This window comes from Homo sapiens, chromosome 12 (assembly GCF_000001405.40).
Source record: "Homo sapiens chromosome 12, GRCh38.p14 Primary Assembly".
NCBI lineage: Eukaryota > Metazoa > Chordata > Mammalia > Primates > Hominidae > Homo > Homo sapiens.
Genome location: NC_000012.12, coordinates 98278170 through 98305904, shown reverse-complemented (window position 1 = coordinate 98305904; position 27735 = coordinate 98278170). Strand labels below are relative to the sequence as shown.

The window sequence follows — 27735 nt, the reverse complement described above, 5'->3', positions numbered from 1 at the left end:
TCCACACAAAGATGAAATTGCCTAGCAAAACACTTCTCATAATGTATTCCTGTCATTAAATGACACATGACTATCCATCTATTTGTCTGTCTGTCTATCTATCTATCTATCTATCTATCTATCTATCTATCAGCGAGACTATAAGAGAGAGAGAAATAGAGGAGAGAGAGATTTATGTTAAGGAATTGGCTCATCCAACTGTGGGACTGTTCACTCTGAAATTTGTAGGGCAAGCTGGCAGGCTGGACATTCCAGCAAGAGTCAGTGTTGTCTATCGCAATCTGAAGGCCATATGGAGGCAGAATTCCTTCCTCTTTGGGGGAACCTCAGTCTTTTTTCTTAATGCCTTGAACTGATTGGATAAAGACTACCCACATAATAATGGGTAAGCTGCTTTACTCAAAAAGGACTGATTTAAATGTTAATCACCTTTGAATAATACTGTGTTAGTCCATTCTTGTGTTACTATAAATAAATACCTGAGTCTGGGTAATTTATAAGAAAAGGTTTATTTTAGCTCACAGTTCTGCAGGCTGTGCAGGAAGAATGGTGCTGGCATCTGCTTCTGATAGGGGCCTCAAGAAGCTTCCAATCATGGTGGAAGGTGAAGAGGAGCCAGTGTATCACAAGGCAAGAGAGGGAGCAAGGGCTGGGGGAGGTGACACACTCTTTTAAACAACCAGATCTCTTGTGAACTACCAGAGTGAGAACTCACTCATCACCAAGGGGATGGTGCTGAGCCATTCATGAGGGATCTGTCCCCGTGATCCAAACGCCTCCCACCAGGGCATTACATTTCAACACGTGATTTGGAGGGGACGAACAACTAGGTATCATGACCTAGACAACTTGACACATAAAATTAACCATAGCAGGAAGGGAGGGAGAAAGGATGCTTCCTCTCACATTCCACCTCTTTTTCCTCCTCCTCTCCAGCTGCTGGGCAGCATCTGACCCCTCAGTGGAGGCAGTGGTGGGTCACAGGTGTTAATGTTCAAAGCTTGGCACTGATGGTTGCATCAAAGGAATGAGACCAGAAACTGTAGCAGCACAACAGGGAGCCATTCACGCCCCATGAGGATGGGAAGAGGATCTCTACACACACTTCCACCATAAAGGGGGCTTGAAATTAGAGTAGGGGTGGGTGGGTGGAAGTGGAGCGAGATGAAGTTCCAGAAATACAACTTGGTGAGACCCTCAGAGATCTGGGATTTTATTTTCTCTTTGGTGGTCCTGGCCCCAGGAGACCCAGGTCTTGTGGAAGGCTGGAGGATTTTTGTAAGACTTCTTTAAGGTGCTATAATTAAGAGCTTTTGGACATATCCATGGGTGATGCATTAATACCACTCCAGCGCCTTAGCTTCCTTACTCAGCTGCGATATACTGAAACAGAATTCTGAGCTGCAACAATGGGATCAACTGATTTTGTTGTTAAGTAGCTTCTAAGAGCATTTTGAAGTCTCAAAAATGCCACTGAGGAAAAGCTCTTCTAATCCTCTTCTCCTCTTTCCAGCTGCCCCTCTCTGTTGGCTGCAGAAATAGATTAACATTTGTTAGACCTCCATTGTAAGCAGTCAAGCAAGCAATCGGGCATTTTATCTTTGGTATTTGATTGAACGTAGAAGGTATTTTTCATTTATATTTTTGCCTGAAGGGAAAGGGGAAGCAGATAAAAAGAAGAAAAGGCATTGCTCTTATGTACTTCTCTTGGATATAAAAGTTGTAATCTAATGTCATACTCCAGCTCTTTTCAATTCAATGAATATTCCTCCATTATCTGACAAAACACCCAGTGCTGGGATATGGGTACCTGACATGTAAGGGAATGTTGCAGAGGTAATAAAATTGTGTCAAACATCTTCTAAAGTGTTTATAAATTTTCTTGCCATGCTTTATTCTTACCTTCAAAAAAATGGATTTATGTATTTATTTTAGCATCCACTTTGAAAATAAACTTAAGTTACAAGTCAACAATGAAGAGAGATTACAATTAACTTATTCCAGGTTAAAGATAAAGATGCAAATCTTTATTCTTCCAATTATTCCAATACTGCAGACAATAAATAGCAAAGGCACTATGTGGAGGGATGATATTAAAATAAATAGACGTGTGTGTGTGCACGCACAAGTAACACTTCTTTCTAGAAAACTCATGTATACTGAGTACAAACTGCAGTATTGGATGTACTGAAATGTAGTAATAATACCTCCTATTTATTTGGAACTTTAGATTTTATAAGTACATTTCTATACTTTGCTCATTTAGGGTAATTTTTTCCAGTTGAACAATCCTCTCAGCTCTTGGGTTTTCAGAGATGGAGAAAACCTCCCTTGTGTATCCTGAGGATTAAATTTTAGACCATGGAAATGAGATGGAAAGTGAAAATCAAAGAATTGGCTGTCAAATTTTTTTTTCATTACAGTATTTTTTTTCTTCAGACAATTTAATGGAAGAAGTCAGAAAAATTTTTCCTTGAATAATTTTCATATTTCTGTTTTTCAACATTAACTGGTGGGTATGGGAGGAGTTTAGAGGACACTGGTCAGGTTTGCCTGAGGCACAGTTATTGAGAGGAGGCTGTAGTATTTGACTGGAGTAAAGGGAAATATATAATATTATCTAGATTTGAACTAACTATGCCAGTCAATGCCAAACAAGGTTTTTAAGACAAAATGGGAGAGAAACCATAAAGGTAGATTGACATGAGTTCTGGGAATGACCAGAAAACTGATAACTAAATGTTTCTGTATTCTGCCTTCTGGTTCTTCTTAGAGTTAAAATAAGAAGAATTTGCAGGAACTATGCAAGGAAAACATATTTATAAAAGTTTGTTTATCATGTATACATAATATGTGTATAAATAAATACACATACATATTAAACATAAAAAAGTTATTATAAAAACAATCCATGTTTATCATGGTAAAATTAGGAAATACAACTTAATAAAAAGAAAATAAAATTTCTAAACCCATCTACCTGGAAATAATTTAATTTTTTCCTTCATATCTGTGTATCATATACATAACAGGTAAAAATAAATCATTATTTTGAAGCTAGTGGTAGAATTTATTTTAGGGAGAGGATAATTTTTGTTTAAGAAAATTGTATGATGGACTTGTCAGGCATGAAAGAGGAAGCCCAAGGATAGTGCTTTGTGGAGAACATTGCCGTGCTCACCAATATCCAGTTTCTTCCTTCTGGATCCTGTTGCAGCTAGGCAAAGCCATGCCAGTAATTCTGGCCAATGAGCTGTGAATGAAGTGATGGGTTGTGTGTGTGTGTGTGTGTGTGTGTGTGTGTGTGTGCTGTTTCTAAAACAGAAATTGGAGCGAGAGCTCTGTGTGTTTCCTTTTTGCTGGTGTGCTGGAGCCAATATGTGTATCTCTTCTCAACTCAGCATTCAATGACTTTATGTTGGTAGATTGAAGCTGGTCATGATGGGAATATTTTTTGATGTTGTTTAGTCATCGCCATGATGATCATCGAAACATGATAATGTTTAGTCAAATCTTTGTGCATGTCTTTTGTTTATTTCTTAAGGTAGCTTCCTAGAGGTAAGATTTTGGGATAAAAGGTATAAAAAGTTTTAAAGTTTTGCTATATTTTGTTCAATTGCTCACCAGAAAGGTGATTTCACTTTATTTAGTTCACAGCAAAGGCCTATTTTGAATATATTCAGTTTGATAAAAAAGCAATACTGTTAAAATGTTTCACGATTAGTCAAAAGCTTACTGAAAAGTTAGTTCTATGTAGATTCAACATATAGAACAGAAAGGTTTAATTATTTTTAATAGCTTGGGGGCTCATAAGGGAAGACTCCTGTGCACAATTATCTTCAAAATTGATATCCTCTTATACCTATTCCTGCTCAACTTCCACACCCCTCCCCTCACTATTCACTTTCATATGATAACTTCATATACTTGGGATCAGAATCTAGCAAAGATTAAGGGAGGGGAAAGGAGAAAGAGTGGAAGTAGGAAAAGAAGTATATAATGTGCTTGTGTCTATATGCTAAAACCATTAAACTAAAAGCATTATTTTGAATTATTTTACCTTATTTAAAAGCATATTCTCTTTTTTCTTTGCCCCTAGTAATAGCTCCATCATGAGAGCTTGGATAAGTCCGAACATTTGGCAATGGACAAGCACACGGAAGTACCACCATTATTAGTATTCCAAAGTTGCCTGTAAAGACTGAGTTAACATGGTACCCTAAGCACTCCAAAGTCCCGTCCCTGCCTACAGAGCACTCTAGACTCCCCCCTCACTGAACTGTTTGCAGTTTCCCAATACATGGTTTTCCTCTTATGTCTTGACGCTGGCAGTATGCTTTTCCCTTTGCCTAGAACCTCCTTCCCCCTCTTTGTTCCATGATGTGCTTACAGTTTCAGTTTAGATATTACCTTTTACTAGAAGCTCCGGCTCCTCCTTTGAATGAGCATATGCTTCTGTCATGTTCTTTCAACATGTTTGATGCTCATCGCACAGTATTGTTCTGTCTGGTTCACTTGCTTGCCTCCCTGACATTAGACTGAGAGCTGCCACAGCGTGAAGACTGTGTCTGGTTCATTCTATTCATTTAGCAGAGTAGCTGATAACTGGTGAGCTATCAGCAAATCTAAATGAATGCACAATTAAAAAATGACAAACACAAAAATTCTTGTGAGTTTTTGAATCTGTTGTATACATTCAAATCAATTAAAAAACATTTTCTAAGACCCTGCTTTGTTCCTGTAACTTTACTAAGTGCTCCGTAAAGATGAATACATTTTAAGACAAAAGTCTTAAGAAGTTTACCATCTGGTGAGGGATTTACAATCTGATTCTGACGATAATCCAGTCTGCTGAACTATTGAACAACTGAAGGAGAGGAAGTGGCAAAAGTTTGAAGGGTTTCTTATTTCTATAAATCTGGCAGCCTAATAAAGGACAGAGAAGTATCAAAAGTTTTTAATCTAAAGTTGCAGGTAAAGAAAGATTGACCACTTAAAAATATAATTTCACACACCTCCAAGATTACTAACATAAAAGTTATTGTGGGATCTGTCCTTGTGAAGATATCTTGGCTTCTACACTATCATAAAATTAGAATTTAACTTTCCCTACAAAATCTGTTATCAGTTCTGGTTTCGTTAGTTTTCTGTGTGTGCCAAATTCAATAGAAGCTGTCTTAAGTGTTTTCCTCCTTATTAAACAGTTTTCTAAAATCCATAATTCAGTGAGACAGTAAGTAGTTGCCTTTATTTCTGTGTAATTCAGCTCTGCAAAGCCAACTGTGAATTCAGTGGGGGCATTCTTGTGCTAGCCACTTTTTGTTATCAGCTACTCCACATGAAAGAAGATTGCATTTCCCTGCTAATGGAAGAAACTGAAGGGGAGAATAAAGACCCTGAGTATTTTAAAATACTGGTTTGAATTGCAGCTTGAGATCTAAAGGTAAAGAGCTGTGCAAGTTCTGGAACAGATACATCATTTACTTATGTGAGACAAAGGGATTTCATTTTTCTTTTTCTTTAAATGAAATTACCCTTTCTATTTATGTACCGAGCCCAAACATTCACGCCTTAAAAGAAAGTTTCATTCCTCAGCACTCTATTCTTTTATCTTCTCATCTCTCATATTTTAAGTACATAAGGACATAAGCCTGAACTTTAATTTCAGCATTTCCAAAATATGTTGCTAGGAAGCTCTTTTGTTTCAAGAGAGACCTTAGGATAAATAGAGATTTTCTATTTCAGAAGGGTCTTCCAGTTGCAATATCTTCAATGCGGCTTCTCCAAAGACATTTTGTCCAAAATGTATGATTGTGATCTGAAGCAGAGATAAAACAAATCACAGAGACAATATGCTTTTCCATGCAGTTTTTACATTTTTGACATTCTTTGACTGTTAGTCTGCAAATGAATTTTGCTAACAGGGTGGTGAAAAACATCTCACAGGTGATTTTATTTCAAGAGACTTTTTCTCCCCACTTGTGTTTGATCAGAATACCTTTTTTTTTTTTGACAAATAGACTATATGTACATAATACATACAGGCTATACTTATTGGAAAAACCAAAACAAAGATAGTAAAACCATCCTAGCAAAATCTACTTTACTCCACTTTCATGCTTTGAAAGAGTTGGTGCAGGCCAAATCCCATTAAAGTGAATAGAGATTTGAGTTACGACGGTATTTGTGAAAACAGATTTGACGTATCTCTTTAATTAACAGATCTGGTATCAATAGAATTACTCTCTTTTGTTTCAATTGATAGGAAATTAGTTGCAAATGCTTTTTAGCATCTTGGGTGTTTTCCCCTGGGCTAACCACACTCTTCAGAATTTTTCTTTTAATAGCCTTCAAAAATCTAATTTTCAAGTTACATGGCAAATTCAGATACCACCTACATAAGGACCATGAGAAATGCTCCAAGAAGCAGCATCCAGTTAAGCTCATTTTCTACATTTCTGCTTTGGGTAAGCTGAGAAGCTGATCATATGAAGAAAATGACCACTATAACTTGACTTCTTATGACAAACTCATAACTAATCACATTTTTGCTAGGGGAAACTGGAGGTTATAATGGTTCAGTGTCTTAAGATCTCAAATTTAACTTTTGAAAGGTGGCTTGATATAGTGGGGTTAGCTAGAGCTGGAATCCAATTTTAGTCCTGATGTTAGATGTGCTACCTTGGTTAAGTAAACTCTGAGTCTTGTTTTCTTCATCAGCAGAATGGGTATATAACAATATCTACAATACAGAGTTGTCATGAGATTAATTTCTATGACTTATGGAGAGCACCCAACCCCATAGCTGGCACATGGTATATGATCGATCAATGTGTGCTCCCCTTCTTACCAACTCTTCCCTTACCTTGTCCTTCTTGGTTGAGCTAGGACTGTGGATGTTTTCCAGAGTGCAGAATGAGGATCTTGAGATTTAAAGGACTTCCTGTCCCCAAATGCTTGCCTGGCATATTCTCAGAATTTCCTTACTTTAGAAATTAATTTGTGAGAGGAGAGTTAAGGCTCTATATCTGCTAGTCCTCTGCTCAAAATGTTAAAATGTTAGCTGGCCTACGTAAATGGGAACATTCACTAGCTGCCCAGGTTTACTCAGCAGAGTCCTAGTTTTATCTTGGTCTGATTATTAATAGCAATGCTTTCACTCTCAAAAGTGTCCTGATTTCGCTGACAAATTATATGATCACCTGTGTTCCATGACAAGAGATCCTTCATTGTTAACTGCTGTATTTATGGCATCTAGCATGGTACATGGTTGTTGCACACCATACATTTGTTGTATAAATGATGCTATATCTGTTTTCTTAATAGTTAATGTAATATTTCTGAATATATCTGTAAAATTAGGACATATTACTTATGGAAAATTTGGAAACTTCCAAAAAGTAAAAGAAGAAGATAAAAAATTAAAACATAATTGCTAATATTACAGGATAGATTGCCTTATTACATAATTTTTTTGAAAACAGAGGACAATATCTTAAGCATATTTGTGATAAGGAGAGGTTGGAATATCAAATGTGTTGGTCAAATTGTCTGCCACGCTCATAACCTCTTCTGAATGGATAGTCCTAAATTGCTATGTTTTGTACTATGTGAACCTGCCCTACTCACTGGAGCTGGTTGTATAAGGGGTGAGTGTTGATCTAAGAATAGTCAAATCAAAGACTGGCCAGCAGCCCATGACCTGGTGCAAAATGATGAGCAGGGCTGATCATATTCCCTTTTTTGAAGCTGAACTTGAAAATTCAGTTAGCAGTGGGATCTGAAGTAGAAGGAAACTATAACGAGAAGCTATGAGGTAAGGTAGGGCTATGAGGGGGTCACAACAGGCTGAAGTTATGAAAAAGTAAAAGCTATGAGAGAGCAGAAGCTTTGAAGTAGAGGAAAGCTACACAGAATGGGGGGAAAGAATAAACCAATTGGTATAGAGAGGCAGCAGAGAGGGGCAGAGACATTATCAGAGAGAGATTGTGAAGGCTCTGAGCAAGACAAGGAGATAAAGAGCAGCTTGTTCTTAACCTGTCTTGGTTCCCAGACATTTCTCTGGCCTTGAACCGAGTTCATGAGTATCTGTATGATAACTCACTCGTTCTTAGGGGAGATGTTTTCCCTCTCTATTCTTGCAGCTATCCACAGTCCTAGTGCTGACAGTTGGTCTTCTTCCCAGTGTTTCCCCTAGAGTGTGTCTCCTGACCTTTGCAGTCCAAAGAATCTGGAACAACTGGCCAATTACAACAATGAGATGTATGCTGACTGTGGGGGACCTTGCAGGATTAGGATTTCCTGGTTAGATTACAAAGATGTAGGAGATCTCAGAGATCCCGACTGAAAGAATAACCACAAGATCTCTTGAGAACCTGAAAGCTGTCAGACAGGTAATCTACCCATTTTCCTTTCCCTCTTGGATCACATGGTGTCTCATCTTTGCCACTCTCTGCATATCTTCTTTGTTCTTTCCCACACCAGCTTCTTTTGAAGGCTCTTAGTTTCTGCTCCTTCATGACCCTGGATTGCATGTGACTTTGAGTTGTTGTGGTGTTGACTGGTGCTTAATCTCTGTGGCTTTCGAGATCTAGTGTCCAGCACTATCTGAGTAGCTGCAATTAGTATATCTTTTATATTAAATTCTCGAGAGAGTGGATCAGATGCATCTCCAGTCAGCTAATGAATTGGTTGCATTTGAGTCAGATGTTCTTCTGATCCAATGATCTGTGGCAAAGGTATGTAACTCACATGATCACCCTGCTCCCTCAGCTGGGGCTATGGATATTGATTCTCTGATTACCAGAGAAAGGGAAGGGCAAATTGAGCAACATTGATGTTACACCTTGGTGTCGCCCTGCTATTTAATCCTGATCTTTATTCCTAGTGCAAACTCAGCAGTTGAACTGCTCAGCAAGTTTCAGACCCTACCTGTGTCATGACTTCTAATATCTAGGGAGAGTTCCTTACTTCTACCTTTGCCCTGGCTCACCTTGCAGATTTTTTCCCCTTCTCTATTCTTGGAGCTGTCCACAGTCCTAGTGCTGACAGTTTGCCTTCTTCCCAGTTTTGCCCCCGGGGTCAGCCCGTGAATCCACACTTCTGGTAGCCAATCTTCGTCTTTCCTCAGAACTGGCAGTGCTATAAATGCTCACTCTGAAGGTGCAGAGAAAAGGCTGTGCTCCACATAGACTGGAATAAAGAAGTAGCTGAAAAAATTACACAGTCTTGAATACTGACAGATTCAGCACTACTTGCCTGAGGGCGCCAATTGTGTAAATTCTTCCCACAGCAATGTGACAATCTCTTAGCAACTCTGAGCTTCTCTAGTTTCAGTTTAACAGCAACAGGGCAGCAGACCACAGGGGAACTCATTTCATCCCATAGTGTGTTCACCAAAGCCACCTCGGCTTAGTTGTCTGTCTGAATCAGCATATCCTGATGAAGGGCTATTTGACCTTCTTTTCAAAATGTCTCAGTGGGAATGACAGAGAGATGTGAGGACTTGCAGCCTTTGGGAATTGTCCACTTGGCCAGCTGAGGCTCTGGGCTACACTCTGTCCACAGAGGCCCCTGTCATTTTTTGCAACTGCTCTTCCAGGTCCGGATCTTGTTCATTCCTTCTCAGGGAGGGAGAACCTCATGTTCATCACCTCTGCAATGCTTTGCACTTGCATTCTACAACATTTTCATCTGACACCACAGATTCTGTGGCTGTCGTTCTCTCAAGACTGTGTGGCCAGAATAGATTATATCTGACAAGTTGAAAGCCCCATAGAGCCATCTCCATGAAGGAGGAAAAAAAGTCAGACCAAAAATCGAAGGCTTACCTTTCTCTGTGTGGGTGTGGGGTCTATTTTGCTTAGAGAACAAAAGGAAAGCATTGAACTTGGAAGAGAGGAAAAATGTGGGAGTGTGTGTGCATGAATGTGTTTTTCATTGCTTTGTCTCAAGTGACTATGCACTTGGTCATTTGAACAAGTTGTTGACTTGCATACTTTCCCATTCCTCAAGTAGTATTAGAAAATAACTAGCAACCACAGGAATCCTATAATGTGTTTTTGAAGCCAGATCTTCTTAGTACATGGGCTACTGCATGCGAGTAAGTCAGACACTTTGTGAAACTTTGTAACTCTTTCAGGCAACAGAGGGACCATTTAGTAAATTAGTCCTTGAAATGGTACTCACAGAAGTTGTTAGCTAGGGTGAAATTACCAAAATCGTTCCCTGGTGACCTGAAAGAATCAGTGAGTTCTTAAAGTATTCTTAGAGAGTTTTCTACATGCAAAACATATATGACTCCCCTAATATGAATTCTATACCATGTATTGTGTAGGGGTAAGAGGCAGGCAAGCTTCTGGGTCACACAAGGGGCTTTTGATTGTGGAGCATTGCTGTAGCAGTGATGATTCTAATGATGAAGTTCTGAGAGGTATTTCTTTCTACAGAGCTCAATGAGGATTTTTTTTTTTAATTTTTAAATTTTTTTAGACTGAGTCTTGGTCTGTCATCCAGGCTGGAGTGCAGTGGCACAATCTCTGCTCACTGCAACCTCCACCTCCTGGGTTCAAATGATTCTCATGCCTCAGCCTCCCGAGTAGCTGGGATTACAGGCATGTGCCACCAGGCCCAACTAATTTTTGTATTTTTAGTAGAGATGGGTTTCATCATGTTGGCCAGGCTGGTCTCAAACTCCTGACCTCAAGTGATCCACCCGCCTTAGCCTCCCAAAGTGCTGGGATTATGGGCGTGAGCCACCGCACCCAGCCTAGTGAGGAACAATTGAGATTACCTGTGCAGTTAGCCAAATAGAGTCATGGTCAGCGAAAGCTGAACTGGAGTACTAGCAGTGTAGACACCAAATCTTCTTTTCCTAAAAAAGAAGATTTCTTTAATAGAAAATAATTTCTCTAAATCACCACTTGGAGAATTAATAGAAAGATTTTAATTTCCAGGTTTGTGCAAAAGTAACTAGAAAATCATTAGTGAGCTACGACAATAGCTCATAATTTTTTGATTCCTCTATTGCAGAAATTAAGTATTTATCTGGAGAAGATACTGAGAGATACCTACTCAATATTGACTATCACCTTTTTTCTTATATAGAATGTTGATTTTATTGGAGAAGTAGTTTGCTTACCTAAAATATACTAGATTTCCCAGGATTCCTAGAAGATGAGAGGTGCATAAGACTAAATCCTAGCCAATGAGATGCAAACATAAGTTGTTGGGTGTGTCTTCTGGTAATGCTCCTTAAAAATAGGCAATGACTCAGCTGGCATGCTCCTTTTGTTCCTTGTGTTTTCCCTTCTTCCTACTAGGAATGAGAAAATGCCGTTTGGAGTTCTAGTAGCCACTTTATATGTATGAGGCAGCCTTGAGGAAAGGAGTCACAACTCAAAGATGTCAGAGAAGAGGGATGGAAAGTCTACAATGAGGTTGCAGAGCCCCTGTACCACATCTAGTGTGTTTAAGCCCTGTTTTCAGGTCTCTGCTCCTCACAATTGAGCACATTTTCTAACTGATACAATATGCAAGGCTGGAATCCCACATGTTTTACTCTTAAATAGAAGTTATTCTGTTCACACAACAGGAACATCAGTAGGGAATAAGATTCTAAAATCCAGCCAGCCTATCCATATGGATGGGCACCATATGGCCTTTCTTTGCTGCCAAGGCCAGTCTAACAGACACAGGGAAGAATGTCAAGTGCAAAGTCAATAATGACATTCTAGAATACATGAAATGGAGACAACCTGAATAACCTTGAGATACTATAGAGGTATTGATTCTGAAGTGTTTAAAAGAAAAATACCTTATAGTGTGTACTGACCATATTTTATGAAGTCCATAAAGCAACTCTTTTATCTTGAAACCATCAAATTGGTCAGCTGTTTTAATTACTGTTGCCTGCATTATTTATCAGATCAACTACGTAGGAGATCACTTTGGTTACATTGTGTCCATTTTTGTCCTTAATCCATGTTGATTTTACAGGTACATACTTAGAGCTGCATGGGAACTTGAGTACATTCTGTCTTCATTTTCTATCTCCCAACATAACAAAAATCCACCCCAACATGTATAACTGCACATTTGCTCTCATATTCTGCTTCCAGAAGGTCCACATTGCATAATAATGGCCTCCATTTATTTGATATACAAGGCATTGCACTCTATGAATTGGGTATTGTTATCCTTATCTCACAGATGAAGAAATCGGGGTTCAGAGAACTTTCAAAATTTGCCAAAGATTACGGTACAGGTGGGATAAAAATCCAGAACTGTGTAACCAAAATCCATTGTTTTAACCACTCTTTATTCATTCAACAAGTATTTGTTGAGCATTCACTATGTGCTAGATAATATTTCAGGCCTTAGGGATGAAAAAGTGAAGAAAAATTACAAACATTCCCTGCTTTCCTGAAGGTGAAGTTTCTTTCTCTCTCTCTCTTTTTAAATGTTAGGCTTGTGACTGTAGTCTTAGCCACTTGGGAGCCGAAGGCAGGAGGATGGCTTAAGCCCAGGAGATCAAGGCTGCAGTGAGCTATGATTGCACCACTGCACTCCAGCCTGGTTGACAGAGTAAGACCCCGTCTCTAAATAATAATGATGATAATAATAATAATAATTTAGTGGGGAAGATAGGCAACAAACATACTAAGTTATGTGCTGTAAGTAAATTATGTGTGATAAGTAAGGAGACGATGGAGCAGGGTAAGATACAGCGAGCACATGGTGGGGACAGCCAGGGACAAGGTTGTGGTATTCAGTAGGGAGATTAGGGAAGGCCTCTCTGATGAGGTGGCACCTGAGCAAAACTTTGAAGGATGTGATGGTGTGAGCCATGTGGATATTTGCTGAGAAGAGAGCATTCGAGGCCAACAAATAGCTGGTGCAAAGGCCCTGGGCTGAGAGCACACTAGCATGTTTGACAGACAGTGAGGAGGTTGGAGTGGAGTGAGGGTAGGGGGGTGGATAGTAACTGGAAAAGAGATTTGAGAGGGAACAGAAGGCCAGATTATATAGGGTCTTGTAGACAACTGTGAAGACTTTGGTTTTTGCTTTGAGAGAAATAGGGGCCATTTGACCTGAGAAGTGATGTGATCTGACTTATGTTTCAGAGGACCACTCTGGCTGATGTGTGGAGAATAGACCGAAGGGAGGTATAGATGCGGGGTGTCCAGTGAGGACTGAACAGAGTTAGGCTGCAACTGTGTTCTACTTCACAGGTGATTAGAGAACACTGTCAGAAGAGGGACTTCTGTCCTCCTCGTCCTTTTAATGTTTTTTGATTAAGGGGGTAAATAGTGGAACGGTAAGGGTAATAGCAGACAATGGCTTCAGCACATGGAAGTGGGTCAGGGCTGGGGGGAGGTGGTGGTGGTGGAGGAGGAGCAGAAGTCTCAGCTGTCTCCTCCATTCTTCTTTTCTCTCTTAGGGAAATGTGCAGGCAGAGGCAGGCACTGTCGGGATGGACATCTTCAGAAAGCATGTAAGTGAAACTTTCCTGGGACCAAAGTTTTGAGCATTTATTTTTCTTCATTAATTCAATGAATATTTATGCAGCCATCATATAGCTTAAATTGTGGGGGAAACTGACAATAAACATTAGGCATGATAAATATGCAAATTATACAATGTGTTAGGTTGTAACCTGAGTTGTAGAAAAATGTGAGACAAGGTAGGTAGGAGTTCCCTGAGCTGGGAAAGGGCAGGTTGACGTATTAATGGGGTGGTCAGGGTAGGCTTCATTGAGAAGGTATTCTGGTTTGGTGGCCAGCAGGCCTTGATAATTTCACACCGTCATTAACTAGAGACACTGTGCTATCACCTTTTCTTTTGTATTGTGCTCCCTGCTGGTAAGGAAGATAAGTCGGCTGACATCTCTTCCTTCTCTCCCACTGAGTGGAGAGGGCTGCTGCTGCTGAGCTCATTTTGTATTCTTCCCTGTCAGAGTCTCAATCCTGTTGACTCCTTAGAGCCTTGAAGGGAGATCAAGATTGGCTCCTTCTCACAAAACGTGAGCAACTCCTGCTCTAGCTGAATTGGTTTTCTGGGGAAACTGCAACTTCTTGTCATTTATAGATATTGTTTCAGTATCATTGTGGGAACCCCTGAGATTGGGTTAGCATTGCCTGCATCTATATGATACAATATGGGTAATGAAAACATTCATCAATCAATTTTTTCTTCTTGCTTTCCCCTCTGTTTATAAATACCTGATAATGGACTATTTGAGCACATTGTCAAGTAGTTCTTTAAATTTGGTCTCAAGGGGATGATGGTTCAATCAGCTATGTGATGGTCTTTAATGTCTAACTAGTCATTTTCTGTTTAAATGAAGTGATTTAATAATTTTGAACAAATGTAAGGACAGTGTCAACTCTAGATAATATTTACAAGAATTACCTAATGTAAGCATTATCTAGAAGAGTAGAATTCAGCACTTTTCAAAGTGTATTCCATGGAACAACAATCTTATTTGGTGTTCTCAAAAAAAAAAAAAAAAAGGGGATTCAGTGGTCAAATAAGTTTTGGAAGTACTGCATGCTGCAGCCCTGTCCTGGAGATTCTTGATGCTCATTGGTTTTTTAATAGCTTTGAGAACTTTTCAATAAATGAACTTACTTTGTTTAATTCAGTGTTTCCCAAACTTATTTGATTATCTATTTGTCATATAACCATCAATTAAATCCTATGGGACTACCAGTTTACAAAATGTGCTCTGGGAAAAGCTGATGTGGCTGAAGTTAAATTTCCTAGAAAAATAAAACAGAATTGCTTATTAATGGGATTCAACCAATGTTTATTGAATGAATGAGCACTGAAGTTCATTTAATGCTGAGTTGAATGTTAAATGTTGAAATGTGTAGCTTGTGGGTGAGTTACACTTTTGAACTTATTTTTGTTCCTGATGTTTATTGTGATTACAGTGCTAAAAGTTTCTATATAGTTTTCTAAGTCTGAACATTAGGAATCTCACATTGATTTAATTTTGAATTTATTATATAGTCATAAAATAGACAGGGTCTCAATAGTCATCAACTTCCTAAAGCTATGTAAGGAAGGCACTAGTGGCATTTAAACAAACCAAAGATATGGCTTCTAATGTGTGACCCTGCTCTAATTGTCCCAAGTAACTGCTGTGATAAAATTTATTTCCTCAAATAAAAACAAAAGAGATCAGGCTTAAATATTGATAATTTGTTCTAGAATTAGGGAGTTTCTTACCATTGCCCACAACATGATAATATTTTTGAGACTTAAGATGAATACTTTTAGTTTTCTAAACTCTTCCAAGATTTTGAAGTACTAATCATAAGGATGTCTGAGATGGCAATTGATTTTGGCAGTGCTAAATAGTCAAAACTAGTTTAAACTTCTCTTTTTTAACCTCTGCCTCTTAAGCCGATTCTCCATTGCGTATGCAAAATGAAATTAAAATACATACTTCTTTTGCTGAAATGCCCTTAGAAGATTTCTCTGGAAAATTTCTTTTTCATAAATGATCATATCTTTAAAGTCTTCTGTTACAGTGGACATTCTATTTTCTCTCATTCCTTATTGAGTAGGAAGTCAGGGGACAATTGAGTCTTTGTAATCTTGAACCAAAAATTTACTTTTTAGTAGAGGATAACATTTTTCATTTTTTGTCACATTGTCTAATGTTTCAACTCAATAAGTTTGACTTATCTGAACAATTTTTTTTAAAATGATAATCACTTTTTCTCTTCAACGAAGAAACAGGACAAATTTTGCCCTGGAAAATAAGTGTTGTATTGCAGTGATTCCTTCATAATTTTTGTGAAAAATGTTGGCGTGCTCACTATGGTGTGTTCTGTGTACCATATATTTTCATGCTTCTCCTTGTGATTCCCTCCCTGTGGGAGGATGATACATTTCTTTCCTGTTGAGCTTAGGCTTGTCCTGGTGACTTGCTTTGGCCAATAAAATAAGAACAGAGGTGATATGTGGCACTTCCAGCATAAGCTTGTAGAGCCATCTCATGGTTTGCCATATGCTTTTTTCCCACCCTGCTCTGGAAACCTGTTTTGTCTGAGTTAGAGGTTGTTGCATCATTCTAGATCTTAGAGTGAAGCTGATGGGCAGCAGATCCACAGCCAACCAGCAATTGATACTTCTAAAAGGAAGAGAAAAACCCTTGTTGTCAAGAGGTTCAGATTATTTGTTCTTGCTCATAACCCACTCTATCTTGACTAATACAATCACCCTCCTCATTGTAATATTTCTAACTTTCCTTTCTAAAAACTTGATATAAATACAACGAATTCAAACAATCATCTATCAGTTAATCAATATTAAATAAATAGAATAAATTTTCAACAAATTGATACAAAGCTAACTTTCAACATCAGCAAACAATAAACTCTTTAACCACTGTAACATAGCTAATCACTGCTATCTAGTTTTAAGTAATGAAGCAAACAAAAATATAGGCTCCACTGCAATGCTGCTGTTTAATGGACCGATTACAATGATTCTTGAATGTGAACATGATATTTTTAATCTAAACCTTTTTTATTCGGACCTTAATAACTGTCTTTGTGAGTTGCAATTTAGTCTCTCAAAAGCACCAAAAGAAAAAGCAAAATTAAATTTTTAGTAACTTGTGTTTACATACAAATGATTCTTTGAGGCAGTGGTAGTTAATGCAATAAGCCCCTAGAATATCATTTTACAGATGCACATATTTTTCTCAGGTGAGAGTAGACTTCATTGGTGTTAGGGCAGTGCTGATTCTGATGAATTATTTAATTCATAAATAACAATCAATAATTATTATTTCTGTAGATTTTCCCCCAGGAAAAGTGAAAGGAGTACTTGATAAATTTTTTAGGTGAATATGAGAGATGCCATTCTTGAGGGCTTTTAGGACTTGCAATTCTTAGGGCAAATATATATATACATGTTTTGAATTTGTAAAGTACATGAAAATACTGAGATTATTTTATTTTGATACAGAATTTTAGAGTTTGGGTCACTGATAAAACCAAATATTAATCTTGGAAACTGAATAGCACAATTAATTCTGTTGGAACTGGCTCATAAACAGGTAAGGAGGAAACAGGTTAACTTTCCTCATTTCTGGACATAAGCAATTCTCTTTCAATTTCTTGAAAAATCCTAATCTCTTCCAATGGGAAGAATATTATTTGAAAAATGCCCTTCAAGCAGTTGGTATTAATCTTGTTTGAGAAAAGTATGATTTTATTGTCAGAAGCTTTAGAAAAAAATAAATCTTAAATACATTTCCCCATCTATAACCCAACTTGGCTTATTACCCCCCGACAGTTTTCCTGAAAAAAGGCAAGAAACTTAGAATGCTTTAATTTTTCTCTGAACAAAATGTCATCTTCTATATATTGTTCTCATGTTTTAGCTCTACTGTGTTATTAGATTACCTTTCAAAATTAGTTACTGTGGTTATTATTTTATGGAGCCTATATTTATTCAGATTTGCAAATAAAAATAGATTTTTTTCCCACCATTACTTCTTGTATCCCACTCCATTGTTGCTTTTTTGCTTTTTGCTCAAATTCAGTTTTTAGTTGTTCTTTCCTAGTGTGGTAGGGCAGGGAGCATGTCTATAAATAGCAAACTTCCTTATTCTTTGTATGCCTAAAAATGTCTTTTTTTTTACTCTCACTTATTAGTTTCACAGGGTAGAGAATTCTAGGTTGACAGTTATTTTTACTGAACACATTTAAAATGTTTATGCTTTGTCTTCTGACAGGTGTTTCTGCTGATTACAAGTCTGCTGTTAGTCTGATTGTAGTTTATTTGTAGGTAAACAGTCATTTCTCCCAGGTAGTTTTAAAAATTGTCTTTACTTTTGTTTCTCTACAGTTTCACTATGATGCATGTTTTTTAAAAAGTTCTGCTAAGAACTCACTATGCCCTTTAAAATCTAATGATTTATGCCTTTATTCATTTCAGGAAACATTTCACCGTCATCTCTTTGAATATTGTCTCTCTCTAAAGACATTATCTCTCTTTACGAAACCCTATTATATGTATGCTAAAGCTTCTCATTCTATCCTTTGTGTTTCTTAACTATTTCCTTCCCCAAATTTTTGGTGATTGCCTTACCTCTTTACCTTTCAGATCACTAATTTCCTTTTCTGTTATGTCTAGTGTATAGTTTAAGTCATCAATCGATTATTTAAATGACCATGGTTTTTGTCTTAATCTGATTGAGCTGCTATAAAACAATATCATAAACTGGGTGGTTTCTAAACAACAGAAATTTATTTCTTACACTTCTGGAGACTGAGATGTCTAAGATCAAGAAGGAGGCAGATTTAGTGACTGGTGAGCACTCAATGCCTAGTTCAAAGACTGCTATCTTTTCGCTGTGTCCCCACATGGCAGAAGGGGCAAGGGAGCTTTCTCAGATCTGTTTTATAAGGAACTAATCCCATTCATGGGGTCCAGAGCCCTCATGACCTAATCACTTCCCAAAGGCTCTACCTCCTAATACTATCACCTTGGAGGTTGGGATTTCAACATTGGATTTTGGGGGGACATAGCAGTCTTCATTTCTAAAAATTTTGTTTTGTTTAGATTTTTCTTTCTCAAGTCTGCCTGTTCTTTTTCTAAAGCACCTTGGTCTTGTCTTGTTAATACTTTATTTATCTTGTGGGACATTATTAATGTACTTATTTTCAAGATTTCATTTTAGATTGTTCAATTATCTTAATTTTTCCCAGCTATAAATTCCCCCTTTATGACACTTGCTTTCTCAGGGCTTTGGGTTTCCCTGTGTGTTTTACAATTTTGGATTATGAGCTCATCGTCAGTTGGCTTTGTCTCCTGGGGAAGGCTTGTTTGTGCCATGAGTTGAAGAGGCACCTCTATTAGGGACTGTTGCCTAAGTCTTTGCTAGGGCTCTGTGTTTTTCCATGGCTCTGAAACTGTTTTAATGTTAGTTTCTTGGCTACAAACATTCTCATGCCACTTAAATAATGTGAATTCAGGTCACACATTCAATCCTTTTAGTTCAGAAAAATGTGAAAATAAGCCATAGAGTTGCTATTGAGAGTGTTTGGCACTAATGAGAACTTTAAAATTTCTATCTGGAAGGTGGGTAGAGGCTGTTAAAGAATCTGTCTTAAAGTTGTATCTGCAATTTGCATAGCAAACATAGTACTTTTACTATATTTGCATGTTTATTTGGAATAACTTGGAGATAGGCTGATGGAAATATGGTATGGTCTTTAAATTGTGGTTAACAGTAATAACAGTGTTTTACTTAGAATATGTGTTTATTTGGAGTATATTGAGAAGTGCTGACAGAAATAATGGTGGGTGAAAATCATCTCAAGCCTCCTCTTGTGGTTGGAGCTAAATATACAGTCTGGAATAATATATAAAGGCTCTGATCAGCCACAGTGCCTCTCTGAAGAGGTCAGGGAAGGGAACTCTTGATAAACATATCTTTTAACACCTATGCTTCTGGATTAAATTTAAAAAGTGTTAAATAATGTTTAGGTTTATTTTGAATTACATGACAGTTGACCTAATCAAGTGTGGGATATTGGATTGCTTAAGATTTCAGAAAATAAGCTAAAATCAATCAAAACATTTAAGTTTCTCAATTTAATTTGATATGACCCTGAGCTTTTGCCTCATATAAAACCAAGAAGAGGAAATTTAAATTAAAAATGAAAGAAGATCTTTATTAACTTGGACAGAAAGAGCTTTGATTATAGTCTTTCTTTCTCCAATCAGTGAGATGTCTGGCAGCGAACCTTAGGGACTCCAGAGTTGCAACAAATTAAGAGAAGAATACTGCTGTTCCAGTGACAGTGTTTGGAGAGTGTAAAACAATACTAAGTCCAGGAGGGCTTTGTCTTGAATGTAAGACCTGAAACTCAAGGAGGTTAAAAATGAAGAAATAATGGGATATCCAGGTTGTTGGTTTAATAATTAGCACAAGAATAAAAATAAGTAGCCTGGATTGAGTTTGGGAGAGAGGAGGCACAGTATTTGGTCCCACTCTTAAGTTTTTGGAAGTAAGATAGAATAGGTTCTTTTCCTTTTCGGTTTTTTTTTTTTTTTTTGGTAGAAAGGATATATTACTAGAAGAGGGATGGGAGTGGGGGCAGCATCTCACTTTGGTTATATGTATGTCCAAGGTCTTTGGAGATAGACTGCATGACTTCCAGGTCTACTCTGTCAGTTCCTTGAGGTGGGTGATGGTAAGAAGTTGCTTAAACTCTCTATGCATCATTTTCCTTATCTGCAAAATTGGGAAATTTGAGTTGTTACAGGAAGCAGATAGTCTTTGTAGAGTGTTGTGCTGCCTCACAGGAGTCTATGGTGTTCCTAAGGGAAATTGGTGCTGAAAAATAGGGATTTTAAGTTATAATAGGTTCTCAGGAATGCTTCCCTTACATATAATTGAATTACCTTCTGTATGCTTATGTGTATTTACCTAGGGGGTTGAGGGAGTGACAGGAGCCATAGCTTTTTTTGGATTTTCAAAATTATTCAAAATCCCTGAAAGGGATTTGTCCTAAAATTTCTACAGGGGGACAGGACAGTCCTAATTTGTGTATGAAATATATTGGAGTTGATGTAGTTCTCATTTCAATAAGGTGAGTATTTGAGCACATTGGAACATCAGTACAGATTGGGGAGAGGTATGTTCCCATGGCAACAAGAGTCCTTATAAGAAGGTCCAGAAATACGCACCTACAAGGACTTTCCTTGGGACCACATTTGAATTAACCTTTAGGAACTTCTGAATTTGTTGGGTGGATTGGATTGTAGCTGTGGTCCTCCTAATTCTTTAGGTATTTAGAGGTTGAACCAAGGAAAGAACTATTGCATCTTATTTCTACTTTGATTTTGCTGTAACTCCATGTCCCTGGCCAAGACATTTAATTATCTACTCCTATATATATCTTTGACTGGAGCATGTGGTTGTCAGTGACTTATTAGCTTCATTGTATCAAGAAGACTTGTGGTTTGATTCACAAATGTAATGGTTATTTAGGTTATACCAGTTTCTTATAATCTGTCACTTACTTTTCATTTGTTCTTTGAAAAATTCAAAATTAGTGAGGGACATTCTCTGGGTAATGCTTACATTTTCCACTCAGACTTGAAATGTCAGCTGAGATTTAGCGATTACTTAGAAAAAGGTGGTAAAGTACCTTTGAGTGGACCAGCAGAATTCTAGTGCAATGCAAACACAGGTTCGAGGTGGAGGAGTCAGTGGTCTTAGTTGGGGTAGTTTCATCCTATTCTCCTTAGCCAGGTACGTTGCTCTCTGCTTCCTGGCATTGACTCTGTGCACCTGTCAAAATGACCTCTTCACATTCCCCTGCCAATGTTTGCCTATTTCTACCTATAATTTTGCTCATACCGCATTGTTTTACTTCATGGGATGACTCTTTATGTTTATCTCCTTATTCTACCCATTTTAAAAGTCTCTCCTTAGAAAGTTTTCACTGACTAATTCTGCCTCTAGTGATCCCTCACTTATTATGTGTACAATCCTTCATCTTGTCTTCCTCTTTGAATTATAAGCAACTAAAGGATGGGATAGTGGCAGAGACTGACTAACTGTTCAAATTCATTCCTCTTTTTGGGAGTATAGTTAGACCATGTCCTCAGAATGCTTTGCCTTGCAGTTAGATGTGACCATGAGACTGAGTTCTAACTGAAGCAATATAAGCAGAAGTGATGAACACTACTTCCAAGTCTGACATTAAAATATCCTACACATGGTCCTCTATGTTCTTTTCCCATATGCTGGCTGAATGTAGAGGTTTGAGGGATTTAGGCAAGGGCAAATCTGCAAGATGGAAGGGGCTTAGGTCTCTGAAGTATTATATGAAAATATTCCACCAACCAGGAATAATTACATTATACTGTTAGAGGATAAGCAACCAACTTACCAACTTACCATGTATTAAGCCACCAGGGTCTTGGGGCTTCTCAGGGTAGTAGCTAGTGTTACTCTAACAAATATAGAGGTGAATTATATTATATTTGTTTCCCTCACAGTACCTAGGATAATGTAGACAGAGGTTCCATCAATGCTGGCTGCCTCCTCCAAAATGTCAATATACTGACCATCACCTTCCAGAGCAAAGAGAAGTAGGATGATGTTCTGCTCAGGTCTGGAGAGTGGGAAGTAGGACAAAGAAGAGATGTTAGCAGTAGATGGCCCAGTGTGAAGGTACATAGGGTAGTTAAGGCACATACCTTTGGTCTTCTACCCTGGTCAATGGCATCAAATAAACAAACAGTATTGTTATTGATTATTATATTAAGTAAATATCAGGAAAGGTATTGATATTGATTATTACATTAGATAAATGTGCAGAGTAGTGGTGTTATTGATTTTTATATTCAACAAATATAAGGATGGACAAAATTCACACCCCAGCCAACACATCTTAAAATGACTTAAGGTTTTGAGCACAATTCTGGGACAGGGACTTATTTTATGATTAATGTTTTAGAATATCTGAGAACTTTTCTCATCGAATTCCCATTAAGAAACAAATCAATTAGGGACACATATGCATCTGTCTATAAAAAGCCTTGGAGCTGGCAGCATCATTGTCAGCAAAAAAGACCCATGGGATCTATCAAATACCAAATGTTGAACAGAGCCCCTTTAAGATATGGGGCCAATTAAAGAAATCAAACTGAGAGATGGAACGCATTTGCAAAAAGCAGGAAAATTTTAGTTATGTGTAAAATGTAAACAAGGTGATATAGTTTGGCTGTGTCACCACCTAAAATCTCATCTTGAATTATAGTCCCCATAATCCCCATAATCCCCACATATGAAGGCAGAGACCAGGTGGAGGTAATTGAATCATGGGGGCAGTTTCCCCCATGTTGTTCTCATGACAGTGAGTTAGTTCTCACGAGATCTGTTGGTTTTATGTGTTTGGTAGTTCCTCCTGAGTTCATTCTCCCTCCTGCGGCCTTGTGAAGAAGGTGCCCTGCTTCCCCTTTGCTTCTGCCATGATTATAAGTTTCCTGAGGCCTTCCCAGCCATGCAAAACTATGAGTCAATTAAACCTCTTTCCTTTCTAAATTACCCAGTCTCAGGCAGTTCTTTATAGCAGTGTGAGAAGAGACTGATTCACAAGATTTTCTATGATTAGAGGCCTACAGTTTTGTATCTTTGAGGTGGAGAAATGGTAGCTACATAGGGTAGGTGAAGCAATCCCTCATTTACACATGCTGGGGGTAAAGGGCAAAAAAATCAAGTTATCCAGTTTGTGACTGTGGGACGGGAATACATGGTTGTTACTGAAGCTTGTTTATTTTTTGAAAAATTCAAGTAATAAAAAAATTCTTGGTTTTAACCAATATATATTTCAATGTTAGATTAAAACAACCTAGAGAAGGACTGATAACAGGATAAGAAAAGGGTTCAAAATAGTATTTGTGGGAAGGCATTTCCTCGTGTTGGGAAGGATGAAGGAAGAGTTAGAGATGAAGATGCCATAGAGAGGTGGAATACCAATGTACACATTCAGAAGAATCTGAGAAATGTGTTCTGCAGGGAAGGAGGCACAAAAGAATGTTCATATACACGACATATGCAAGCAGTGAAGACACCATTAAGGCTGTTGCTGTTGTCTTGCCTAGACAACTTCCCCCCTTTGATTGACTCTTGTCATTCAGGTCTCAGTTTAGATCTTTGCTGACTACCCCATGTAATGTTGCTCCATCAGCCATTGTCTTCACATTGTAATGGTGAATTTTCTTCATAGAACTTACTGTGTTTAAAGTTTTCTAAGTCATTTACGTGTTTGCAGTCCATCTGCCATGGCAACAGGGATCTCATCTGGCTTGTTCATCACCATACTCTGAGCACCCAGACTAGGACCTGGCACAGAGGAGGCATTCAATAAACGTCTTCATCAATTCAGGCTGCTGTAAGAAGTCATCATAGACTGGGTTGCTTAAACAACAGACCTTTATTTCTTGCAGTTCTGGGAGTTGGGAAGTTCAAGGTCACGGTGCTGGAAGATTTGGTGTCTGCTGAGGGCCACTTCCTCGTTCAGAGATGGCTGTCTTCTCATTATATTCTCACACATTGGAAAGATGGCAAGCTAGCTCTCTGGAATCCCTTTTGTAAGTGCACTAGTCCTATTTATGAGGGCTCCACCCTCATGACCAAGTGACCTCCACAGGCCCCATCTCTGATACCTTGACATTGGGGATTAGGATTACAACATAAAAATTTTGGGGAATCACAAACATTTAGTTCATTTAAACACATATCTATAGAATGGATGAATCAGATACCTGTCCTTTGTAGTAGAGAATTTGCCTCTGAATCAAAATCAGGTGAAGGAGGAGCTTAAGAAATACCTAAAAACTTTCTGTGACTAAGGGAAGGGCCATCAGCACATATTATTTAGTTATCCTGCTTCAAATATAAAAACATTGAACAGAAGTTAAGCTGACAACATGTTACAAACAACAGCCACGATCTTCTGACTCTGAAATTCTTGATTATTTTGCTGCCCATTTTATACATTTCACTCTTCATTGTTTGGGGGGAGTCATATTTAGGAGGAAAACAAGTTGTTTGGCCACTTGGATAAAGCCATTGGCTGCCTCAGCAAATCCTCTGCTTTGGCTGGGGGCACTCTGACCCGAATGAGTAACAGGTGGTGAATTAACAGTGTGATTTGCATTTTTGAGGGTATGTGCATGCAGAGTCTCGCTTATATTGGTCTATAGCTCTTTATATTACAATGTGTTTATATTTAAAGAAATAGAAAAGGAATTATTGGCCTGCTTTTGTCATGGTTGTACTATAATCCACCATGAGAAATCATAATATAATTTCATTTTTCCCTTGGTTTAATGCTGTTAAAGAAGCCAGCTCTCAGTCTGAGGAAACAAATCTACTTTTAAGCATACCTGCATGCAAATGGGTTGTGGAGGTGGTTTATCCTTTTACATAATAAGTTAGAGAATTCTCTTTTTCAGTGGAATAGATGTATAGATTAATAAACCCCGACTAGGCACACGGATACGTGGAATCAATGTAAGCCTGGTTAGAGATGACAAAGAGCTTCACGCTCGAGTGCTTTGCAGCCTAATTCAATAAAACAAAATGAAAGGCAAATGCTTGAGGAGTTGAAGAGAGGATCTTTATGAAAATATTAAAACCTCTGTACAAAGAAAGTCATATTCTTTTTTGAGCTTGCTCCCAATATTGCAATGTAATATATGGGCCTCTTTCGGGGGAAAAAATTAAAGGCGCTTTGTGATTTTTTTAACAAAGCAACAAAAAGGAACCATTTTGAATGTAGAAGCCTACACTTTGGTCTTTAACTGGAAAGTAAAATGCTGAGATAAAACTAGATTTTTTTCCCCCATCAATTTGCAAAACTAAAGTCTGAATCTAAACTGAAACAGCGACAGCATGAAAAGCTATTCACGGGTCTGCAGCCATCTCTGATTCTATCAATTTGTTTTCCAGTCTTTGTTGTGATTCCGTGTTTCTCATGGATCTCTGGAGACAGCTTCCGGCTTGAGGAGAGAATATCAATAGCCCACATGTTCCTCTAGGAGGCTTCCCTGCGACAGTCACGATGCTTCCACAGATCAGATCTTCTCTTTCTTTAATGATAGTGTAAAACAACAAAAATTATTTATTTTTGGGAAACATGAAAATCAACAAAGCAGTAATGTCTGAGTGAGAATATAATTTTGCTTCCTCTTTGTGCAATAAGCTCAAAGGCAAAAAGTAAGCATCAATTGGTCTCTTTTCTGTGATTTCATAAATCCATAATTATATCACATGCATTTAAAAATGAAGCAATGACCTTAATAAATTTGGACAGAACTTAGACACTACAATGAAATAAGTACTGGACTTTCTAACGGAGTCTGGAAGGCCTGGTTTCTGGCTGAGCTCCATCAGGTGACAAGTGGGTCATCTCCGATAAAACCCCTAATTCCCCTGAACTCTATATTTCACACCCATAAAATGGAAATAACAATATCTGCTGTTCTAATCTCACAGGGCTGATGAAATATAACATGGCATGTACGCAAGAATCTAGAAAATGTTCGAAGCATGTGTGAATACAACATGCTGTCAAATTATTAGAGAAGTTACACTTTTCTTTAATATTCATACCATTCTCTAGGAACTCTGTCCTGTCCAGAAAATCCTACAACGCCTCCCAGGTTCACGCCATTCTCCTGCCTCAGCCTCCAGAGTAGTTGGGACTACAGGTGCCGGCCACCACACCCGGCTAATTTTTTGTATTTTTGGTAGAGACGGGGTTTCACTGTATTAGCCAGGATGGTCTCGATCTCCTGACCTCTTGATCTGCCCGTCTCGGCCTCCTGAAGTGCTGGGATTACAGGCGTGAGCCACCGTGCCCGGCCAACGTTTGTTTTTAAGAGAAGAATTGCTGCTTTCAGTTGTATATTTTGTATTTTAAAATATGTGTGTTTACGTATATGTAAATATTTATATTTTTCTGGCTTTTTCTCTCTTCTCCCTCTTCCCAGCCCCTTAGTTCTTTCTGATTTCCTTGAACATTCAATTCAGTGTTATCTCCTTTAAGAAACTTGCCCCATGCCCAAGGCTGGATTGGTCCATACTACTGTGCTTTAAAAAAATTTTTGAGTTTATCTTCAGTTACATTTTCAACATATCTTATGTTTATTTTTCTGTCTCTTTGGTAGATTGTGAGTATCTTTTTTTTTTTTTTTATTATACTCTAAGTTTTAGGGTACATGTGCACATTGTGCAGGTTAGTTACATATGTATACATGTGCCATGCTGGTGCGCTGCACCCACTAATGTGTCATCTAGCATTAGGTATATCTCCCAATGCTATCCCTCCCCCCTCCCCCGATCCCACCACAGTCCCCAGAGTGTGATATTCCCCTTCCTGTGTCCATGTGATCTCATTGTTCAATTCCCACCTATGAGTGAGAATATGCGGTGTTTGGTTTTTTGTTCTTGCGATAGTTTACTGAGAATGATGGTTTCCAATTTCATCCATGTCCCTACAAAGGATATGAACTCATCATTTTTTATGGCTGCATAGTATTCCATGGTGTATATGTGCCACATTTTCTTAATCCAGTCTATCATTGTTGGACATTTGGGTTGGTTCCAAGTCTTTGCTATTGTGAATAGTGCCGCAATAAACATACGTGTGCATGTGTCTTTATAGCAGCATGATTTATACTCATTTGGGTATATACCCAGTAATGGGATGGCTGGGTCAAATGGTATTTCTAGTTCTAGATCCCTGAGGAATCGCCACACTGACTTCCACAATGGTTGAACTAGTTTACAGTCCCACCAACAGTGTAAAAGTGTTCCTATTTCTCCACATCCTCTCCAGCACCTGTTGTTTCCTGACTTTTTAATGATTGCCATTCTAACTGGTGTGAGATGATATCTCATAGTGGTTTTGATTTGCATTTCTCTGATGGCCAGTGATGATGAGCATTTCTTCATGTGTTTTTTGGCTGCATAAATGTCTTCTTTTGAGAAGTGTGAGTATCTTAAGAGTGGACTTTGTTTCTTATTCATGTTTGAATTCCCAAAGCCTAGACAGTGTTGGCCACATTGTAGGCACTCAGAAAATTTTGTTGTATTACTAATGGCTGTTCTTATCAAAAAATATAAAAGTGTAAATGTTTCTATTCTAACGTAAGGGGCCAGGGACTGGTTAGATTTATCTG

General features: G+C 38.1%; 1 long non-coding RNA gene across 1 annotated transcript, besides 1 other annotated feature; it reads right to left on the bottom strand.

The window, feature by feature from the left end:
- Window positions 1–1179: 1179 nt before the first annotated feature.
- LOC105369932 (uncharacterized) lies at window positions 1180–10864 on the bottom strand. Its single transcript, XR_002957448.1, has 3 exons — window positions 10793–10864; window positions 4411–4625; window positions 1180–1530 (listed from the first exon to the last, which is right to left on the bottom strand). It is a non-coding gene; the product is annotated as an uncharacterized LOC105369932 (long non-coding RNA).
- Window positions 13580–14118: an enhancer, noted in NCBI's record as "NANOG hESC enhancer chr12:98685565-98686103 (GRCh37/hg19 assembly coordinates)". NCBI's record gives its function as "activates a minimal SCP1, AML or CMV promoter by ChIP-STARR-seq in primed H9 embryonic stem cells {active_cell/tissue: H9 hESC(primed)}" and the evidence as "EXISTENCE:reporter gene assay evidence [ECO:0000049][PMID:30033119]".